Genomic DNA, 9853 nt, shown 5'->3' on the forward strand with positions numbered 1-9853 from the left:
TTTTCTGAAACTGTTCCAAAAATCTGGGAGGAGAAAATCCTTCCAACACATTTTATGAAGTCAGCATCACCTTGATATTATTAATAAAACCAGACAAGACATTACAAAACAGAAAACTACAGGCCAATATCCCTAATGAATATAGATGCAAAACTCCCTAAGAAAATGTTAGCAAACCAAGTTCAACAACACATTAAAAAGATCATCCACCATGATCAAGTGGGATTAATCCCAAGGATGCAAGGATGACCCAACAGACACAAATTAATAAATGTGATACATTACATGAACAAAATGAAAGACAAAATCCTTATGATCATTTCAAAAGACACAGAAAAAAATTTTGATGATACTTTAACACTCTTTCATGACCAAAAATCTCAATAAATTAGGTATAGAAGTAATGTACCAAATATAACAAAATCACAGCTAACACCATACTGAAAGTCAAAAGGTTAAAATTTTTTCCTTCTAGATATGGAACAAGAAAATGATGCCCACTTTCTCCACTTCTATTCAACATAGTAATGGATTTCATAGCCAGAATAATTAGGCAAGAGAAAAAATAATAGGCACCAAAAGTGGAAAGAAAGAAACTAAATTGTCTTTTATTTGCAGATGACAAAATTTACATATAAAAATGTATAAAAAGTCCACCAAAAAACTGTTTGATTTAAACAAATTCAGTAACATTACAGAACACAAAAGTAATGTACAAAAATCAATAGTGTTTTTATACATTAACAGTTAATTACATGAAAAACAAGTCAAGAAAACAATAGCATTAACAATAGCTACAAAAACAAAATATTTAGGAATAAATTTAACCAACAAGGTAGAAGAGCTCTACATTGAAACCTATAAAACATTAAGGAAGGAAAATGAAAAAGACACAATTAAAAAAAAAGATATCTTGTATTCATGGATTGGAAGAATTAATATTGTTAAAATGATCGGACTACTCAAAATGATCTATAGATTCAATGCAACCTCCATCAAAATACTGATGATATTCTTCACAGAAATTAAAAAACAGTCCTAAAATGTATGTGGAATAATGAAAGACCCTGAATAGCTAAAGCAATTTTGAGCAAAATGAACATGGCAGGAGGCATCACACTATCTGACTTCAAAATATACTACAAACCTATAGTAACCAAAACAGAATGGTACAAGCATAAAATAAAACACATAGACCAATGGAACAGAATAAAAAGCTCACAAATGAATTCACACATTAATAGCCAATTGGTTTTTGATAAAGGTACCAACAACATTCAATGGGAGAAAAACGGTCTCTTCAATAAATGACTTTTGGAAAACTGTATATCTACATATAGAAGAATGAAATTAGACATTTATCTCTTGCCACATTAAAAAAAAATCAAAGAAGTCTGACCAAGAGGGCTGAATAGCATTCTCAAGTGATTGCCTTCCTTACAGGAACACCAAATTGAATAACTATTTACATAAGAAAGAACCTTCAAAAAATAAATAAAATTCAGTGTGGACACCAGCTTGGCCACAGTGAAGTAGAGCACCAAGCAGGCTCCTAGGATTCCTCATTCCATGCCTTGGCTCCCGGATGGCATTTCTTAACCTGCCCTGGGCCAGAGGGGAGCCCACTGCTATGAAGGGAGAGACCCAGGCCTGGAAGCATTCACCACAAGCTGACTGAAGAGCCCTTGTTCCTTGAGTGAACATCAGCAGTAGCCAGGCAGTAATTCCTGTGGGCCTGGGGCAGTGCTGGCCACAGGAACACCTCTGCTTGTGGAAACAGGAGGGAAGAGTGGGAAAGACTTTGTCTTATGATTTGGGTGTCAACTGAGCTGCAGTAGAACAGAGCCCCAGATAAATTCCTAAGGTTCCAGACTCCAAGCCCTGGCTCCTGGCGCCAGGCCTGGATACAGGCATTCTGGGACCTGTCCTGGGAAGAGGGAGAGTGAAAAATGCTGAAGGGCAGGACACAAGTCTGGCTGGATTTGGCACCCTCTAAATGAAGAGCCCTTGGGCCTTGAATAAACACTGGCAATAGCCACGTAGGGGTTACCATGACCCTTGAGTAAGAACCAGTGCTGTTCTGGCTTTTGGTCTGACCCAGGGCTGTTCCAGTGGTTATAGCCATAGGGGTGCTTGTGTCACACCTCTCACATCTCCAGCTAGCTCAGCATGGACAGAGAGACTTTGTTTGGAGAAAAAGTAAGGGAAAAGAAAAAGAGCCTCTTTCTGGAAATCCAGGGAATTCTCTTTGATATTACCCAAGACCACCAAGGTGGCACTTCTATGGGTTTGCAAGATTTACAGTATTACTGGGCTTGGGGTACCCCCAAATGCTAATATGGCTGCAGTGACAAAAGACTTAGATCACAACATTCAATTTCCTTTGAATACTTGGAAAACCTTCCCAAGAAGAATGGGTACAAACAATCCCAGACTGCAAACATCACGATAAATATTTCACTTTTCAATGTCCAGACATCAACAAACATTCATAAGCATAAAGACCATCCAGGAAAACATGGTCTCATGAAACAAACTAAATAAGTCACCAAGCACCAATCTTGGAGTGACAGAGATATGTGACCTTTCAGACAGAGAATTTAAAGTAGCTGTCTTGAAGAAGCTCAGTAAAATTCAAGATAACACAAGATAACAAGAAGGAATTCAAAATCCTATCAAATAAATTTAACAAAGAAATTGAAACAATTAAAAAGAACCAAGAGGAAATTCTGGAGCTGAAAAATTCAGTTAACATACTAAAGAATACATCAGAGGTTCTCAACAGCAGAATTGATCAAGCAGAAGAAAGAGTTAATGAGCTGGAAGATAAGCAATTGGAAAAAGCACAGTCAGAGGAGAAAAAAGAAAAAAAATAGAAAAAGAATGAAGTATACCTAAAAGATATAGGAAATAGCCAAAAAATGGAAAATCTAAGAGTTACTGGCCTTGAAGAGGAGAGAGAGGGACATCAGGGTAGAAAGTGATAAGAAACTAGAAATTCCATTACTGAGTGTATACCCTAAGAAATATAAATTGTCTTAATATAAAGACACATGCACATGTATGTTCATTGCAACACTATTCACAATAACAAAGATTGGAATCAACCTAAATGCCAAATAATGGTATGCTGGATAAAGAAAATATGGTACATATACACCATGGAATACTATGCAGCCATGAAAACGAATGAGATCATGTCCCTTGCAGGAACATGGATGGAGCTGGAGGCCATTACCCTTCGCAAACTAATGCAGGAACAGAAAACCAAATGCTGCATGTTTTCACTTATAAGTGAGAGCTAAATGATGAGAACACATGGACACATAGAGGGGAAACACACATTGGTAGCTATCAGAGGGTGGAAAGTGGAGAGTAGAAGGAGGGCAAGGATCAGGAAAAATAACCAGAAGGTACTACACTTAATACATGGTTGACAATATCTGTACAACAAACCCCAATGGCACAAGTTTATCCATATAACAAACCTGCACATGTACTCCTGAAATTAAAATAAAAGTTAAATTTTAAAAAATAACATATAATGGAGCTTCAATATGTCTGGCAGCATATTTTTCAGTGGAAACCTTACACACCAGAAGAGAATGGTATGACATATTTAAAGTACTGAAGGAGAAACCTCAAAATTTTTTATCCTAGAATAATATGTCCAGTGAAAATACCCTTCAAACATGAAGCAGAAATAGCTTCACAGACAATTAAAAGCTGAGGGATTTCATCAAAACCAGACCTGTCCTACAAGAAATGCTAAAGGGAATTCTCCAGTCTGAGAAAAAGCGATGTTAAAAAGCAAGAAAATATCATCTGAATGTACAAAATTCACTGATAATGCTAAGTACACAGGCAAACACAGAATATTGTAATTTACACTGTAATTGTGGTGTGTAAACTACCCATATCTTAAGTAGAAAGACTAAAAGACAAACCTCTCAAAAATAATAACTATAATAACTTTTCAAGTCATAGTATAATGAGATATAAATAGAAACACAAAAAAAGTAAAAACTCAGAGGGGATGAAGTTAAAGTGTAGAGTTTTTACTAGTTTTCTTGTTGCTTGTTTGTTTATGCAAACAGTGTTAAGCTGTTATCAGCTTAAAATAATGGGTTATGGTAACCTCGAACCAGGAAACCTACAACAGATATGCAAAAAATAAAAAGCAAGAAACTAAATTATAACACCAGAGAAAATCACCATCGCTAGAGGAAGATAGGAAGGAAAGGAAGAAGGAAGAGAAGACCACAGAACAACCAGTGAACAAATAACACAATGGCAGGAGTAAGTCCTTATTATCAATAATAACATTGTATGTAAATGGACTAAATTCTCCAATCAAAAGACATAGAGTGGCTGAATCGATAACAAAACAGGACCCAATGATCTGTTGCTTACAAGAGACATACTTCAACTCTAAAGATTAAAATTGAAAATAAAGAGATGGAAAAAGATATTCCATTACAATGGAAATAAAAACAACAGCAGGAGTCACTATACTTCTATCAGAAAAAAAAAACAGATTTCAATAAAAAAATAAAAAGAGACAAAGGTCTATTGATATTATAGACCTTGTATAAGGTCATATAAATGATAAAGGGGTCAATTCAGCAAGAGGTTATAACAATCGTAAATTTATAAGTTTCCAACTTTGGAGCACCCAAATATATAAAGCAAACTTTATTAGAGGTAAAGAGAGAGATAGACCCCAATGCAATAATAGCTGAAGACCTCAACACCCCACCTTCAGCATTGGACAGATCATCTAGACAGAAAATTAACAAAGAAACATTAGACTTAATCTGCATTGTAGACAGAATGGACCTAATAGATACTGACAGAATGTTTCATTCAACTGTTGCAGAATATATATCCTTCTCCTCAGATGTATTATCCTCATGAATAGATCACATGTCAGGCCACAAAACATGTCTTAAAAAATTCAAAAAAATGAAATCATATCAAGTTTTTTTTTACTATAATGGAATAAAACTAGAAATCAATAACAAAAGGAACTTTGACAACTATACAAACACATGGAAATTAAACAATATGTTCCTGAATGACCAGAGGGTCAATGAAGAAATTAAGAAGAAAATTTAAAATTTTCTTGAAGTATATGAAAATGAAAGGAAACAAAACATACCAAAACTATGTGACATGGTAAAAGCAATACTAAGATGAAAGTTAACAGCAATAAGCACCTACTCCAAAAAATAGAAAATCTTCAAATATACAACATAACTATGCATCTTAAAACCTAGAAAAGCAAGACAAAACTGAACCCAAAATTAGCAGAGAAAATAAAGATCAGAGCAGAAATAAATGAAATTGAAATGAAAAAAAAAAACATTGAAAAGATCAACAAAATAAAACGTTGTTTTTTTGAAAAGTTAAGCAAAATGAACAAACCTTTAGCCAGACTAAGAATAAAGAGAGAAAACTCAAATAAATAAAATCAGAGATGAAAAAGGGGACATTACAACTGATATTGTAGAAATTCAAGGAATCATTAGAGACAACTATGAACAATTATATGCCAATAAATTGGAAAACACAGAAGAAATGGATAAATTCCTGGACTCATACAAACTACCAAGATTGAACCATAAAGAAATCTAAAACCTGAATGGAACAATAACAAGTAATGAGATGAAAGCCGTAATATAAAGTCTCTAGAGGTTCCTCAGAAAATTAAAAATAGAACTACCATGTGATCAAAGAATCCCACTACTAGATATGTATATCCAAGGGAAATAAAATCTATTATGTCAAAGAAATATCTCCACTTCCCTGTTTGTTGCAGACTATTCACTGTAGTCAAGCTATGGAATCAATCTAAGTGTTTATCAACAGATGAATCGATAAAGAAAATGTTTTATATATATATATATATGTATATACAAAATGGAAATGCAATTTAGCTTCAAAAAAAGAGAGAAATCTTTTGATTTCTAACAACATGGATGAACTTGGAGGACATGATGTTAAGTAAAATAAGCCAGACACAAAAAGATGAATGTCTCATGATTATACTTATATGTAGAATATTAAAAAATTGATCTTATAGAAGTCAAGAGTAGAATCGTGGTTACTAGATGATAGGGTGCCTAGGAGGAGGGTGGGAAGGGAAAAGGATATACAAGTACAGTTCAATAGGAAGAATAAGTGCAAGACATCTATTGTATAGCATATTGACTATGCTATATGATGATATATTATATCCCAATAAATACAGAAAGAATGGATCTTAAGTGTTCCCATCCCAAAAATAATACCTATGTGATGTAATTCATTTGTCAATTAGGTAGATTAAAACATTCCACAATATATACATGCTTCAAAACATCATACTGTACAGAATAAGTATACACAATTTTATCCATCAATTTTAAAAAATAACACTAATAATTAACTACTTAATCAAATGTATATATTGAAAATTCACTACATTTTAATCTTTGGCTTCCCCAGGAACACTTGATGAACTTAACATAATCTCTGACTGCAGAAAGCCTTCTCTTCTGTGTAGTTCCAGGGGAGGGAGAGAGAGGTGTACAGTCCAGAATAGTATAGGTGAATATAGCTGTGGGCTCACTGTCTACTCCTCCCGTCTGTTTAACACCTCTTTTCTTTGCTCACTAATCTGTTCAAGTTTCTTTGACACACAGCATGCTCCTTTCTTCTTCAGGATTTTCGGACACTATATTTCTTTCACCTTAAAACTCTTACTTCTCCAACCCTATCCACTCTCTGGATACCAATATAGACATATCGTACTCAGGAAATCCTCACTTAGACCTCTGTAGCCTAGGTAAAATCTTCATGGTGCACCCTTTGTGAGGAACTTCTTTCTTTTCTACTATTTATGACAATTGAAGTTAATAAATATTTTATTTCCCTCCTTACTCCGAGTTCCAATGTTAGTCTACTTTCTCAGTCTGTGGACCACTATATTCTAGGGGCTATTTCGGTGTCTGCCTCATAGGAAGCTCCCAATAAATATACTTACTCAATTAAAAAAAATGAAAACTAAGTCCTAAGTTATGACTCAGTCCAACTAAGGAAAGGACCAAATGAAGATCATCTGACATAGGCAAGAAGTTGATACCTATTATGAGACCAGCTTTAATATATGCATGCATCTGGGACTAACAACTAATTGAAATTCCAATGAAATTTATTCCAAAAATAAGTGTTCTATATTTATTTGATAGGTAAAGAAAGGGGATAGACTAGCATAGGCCACAAGCAATGAAAGCACAACACCAGCCACAATTTAAAGATGCTCTATTCCTCTTTTTCTTATATTATATTTTGTCTTAATGCATAACTCTTTCAGAAAGAGTAGGAAATGCAAAGAACTAGTCAATCAAACTGAAAATAATTAAATTTAAATTATCTGAAACTCCAGCATCCATATTATGCCCCTCTCAGATTTATTTTTAGGTAAATACATGCATTTTTTTCTGAAAATGGTTTTAAACAATATATTGTCCTATTATATCTCTGTGAATAGTTGCATAATTTGCTTTATTTTCTGTATTCATCTTTTAATTGCTTGTGAGGCTGAATATCACTGTTACTATTAATATTCTCATGGATGAATTTACTGTTACTGATTAACTTGCATTGGGAAAGGTGTTAGGCTGAATGGGTCACATAGATGAGAAGTCAGATACAGTTAAGTCCGATCAACTCACAGGTGATCACTGTGTATAGTATCTGAGGTCAGACCACACCAGGAGCTACCGGTTTGTAGATGAGGCTAACCCATGCCTCCAGCACTTTTTCTTATAAACAACCTTCCCTTCATTAATGTATTATGCTGCAATTCACAGGGACCTAGATGTCATCAGGAAAGGACTTTAAAGATAATCCACTCTGACCCTTGGTTTTCTGTAAACATGCTACCTCCTAGAGCCCTGACATTAGGAAATACTGCATTGCTGGCAAAAAGGATAGTGAGGGAGGGCCCTCTGAGAAGGTCTAGCCTAAGGTATATGTATATCTGTACAGTACTAGGAGTTGCTGTCCTGCATCTTGTTTTCGTTTGCTTGTTTTAGAGAGGAAGTCTCACTAAGTTCTCTGGCTAGAGTGCAGTGGCTATCCACAGGCATGATCATACTGCACTGCAGCCTGAAATTCCTGGACTCAAAGGATTTTCCCACCTCACTGCTGAGAGTAGAGGCATGCCCCATCATGCCTGGCTACATCTTGTTTTTAATCTGTCACAGTCTTTTTCTCATATGTACAGCAGTTACTATGTTCTCAGGAACTGAATATTTAGTTTTCACTAAATGATAATTTTATCTATAAAATTCAGGATATAGGAAATAACAATATCCTGCAGAGAGGAAAATGTCACAATATCCCCTGCAAGAAAAGAGATAAGTTTCAACTCTCCTTCTTTCAACTGAAAAAAAAAAAAAAGAACCAGAGGTCAAAACTGACTTTTTAAATGCATAGTTTATCCAAGCGAGAGTCAGATGTGGTTATCCCTAATATAACTAATACGTTATATGCATTACGGACATTTTCTTACAGTGTTTGCTGTGTATTTTCACTGTGTTTACTTTTCCGTGAAAGGCAAAGTAAACACAGTGAAAATACCAGTTTTACAAAGAGGAAATTAATTTGCTTTAAGCTTTAGGAAAACCAGATTTTTGTTGTTTTATATTTAGATTCCAAGCAGAAGGAATGAGAAACCAAATGATGCCCTTGTACTCACATTTAAACAGAGAAACTTATTAAAATATATTAGTAGAATGACATTTATTATAGGTTTCTGAAAGATATGAAACTTGTACTAACTAATAAAATATTTGAGGAAATTAAGAGGTCAGGAAACTAATTTAACATCGTGGTCAAAAAGACTTCCTCTACATCTGGCTCATTAGTTACATGAGATGGGAGAAATAGCTTAAATATTCATCATGAGATCGGTTTAAAAGCCAAGAAGAAAAACTTGATTAAATTTGATTGCATGCAAATTCTAAATGTCTTTATTTTAAAAAAAGGCAAAGTAAACACAGTGAAAATATACAGCAAACACTGTAAGAAAATGTCTCTAATGCATGTAACTAATACAGGGTATGTATTCACAGTATGGGGATGACCACATAGTCTCTTATTTGAACAGCCCATTTGCAAAATGGGCAAAAGATCTGAATAATCACTTTATTCAAATGTCAAATACACATGATCAGATGCTCAACATTACCAGCAATTAATGACTTCCAGAGCATCAACCTATATGGTACAAGATATTAGCCAAGAACAAGAGAGGATGTTTAACAGCGAAAAATAATTTATTGTGACTTTTACAGGAGCTTGAATGCCCTCATTGGAAGAGTCAACATTAATAAAATCTGAATTATTACCATTAATATGGCCATGTCATTTTTATCGGCAGGTGCTAGAGAAATGCTACTTATACATGTAGCATTTACAATTAATATATGTAGCATTAAACAATTATCAGGAACATTCTGTCTATTAAAATGTAATCTTCCTTCAACCCTATTATCCACTTACATTTATATATTAAAACACATTATATATGACAAATTTAATACTCAGCTATTTCTTTGAAGTTTTGCTTTTATTATATAAATGTAAAATTTGCATTTCAGTCCCTAATATCTTATTGCTTAAAAATGTTTTATAGTATTTGTTATAGGGTAAAATTTATACACAAAGAAAATTCATGCAAATCTATTTGGTGGCTTCATGACCTCAGGAGTGCACACCCTGTAGTTTGAGAAGTGTAGTGTTGTACTATGCATAATAGCTAACTACTAAATATTATATTACTGTTTACAAAATGCTTTCACAT

At 34.2% G+C, this 9853-nt stretch overlaps 1 annotated feature.

Moving 5' to 3' along the window:
• Positions 1260-1760: an enhancer, noted in NCBI's record as "H3K27ac hESC enhancer chr1:158879152-158879652 (GRCh37/hg19 assembly coordinates)". NCBI's record gives its function as "activates a minimal SCP1, AML or CMV promoter by ChIP-STARR-seq in primed H9 embryonic stem cells {active_cell/tissue: H9 hESC(primed)}" and the evidence as "EXISTENCE:reporter gene assay evidence [ECO:0000049][PMID:30033119]".

This window comes from Homo sapiens, chromosome 1 (genome assembly GCF_000001405.40).
Source record: "Homo sapiens chromosome 1, GRCh38.p14 Primary Assembly".
Taxonomy (NCBI): Eukaryota; Metazoa; Chordata; class Mammalia; order Primates; family Hominidae; genus Homo; species Homo sapiens.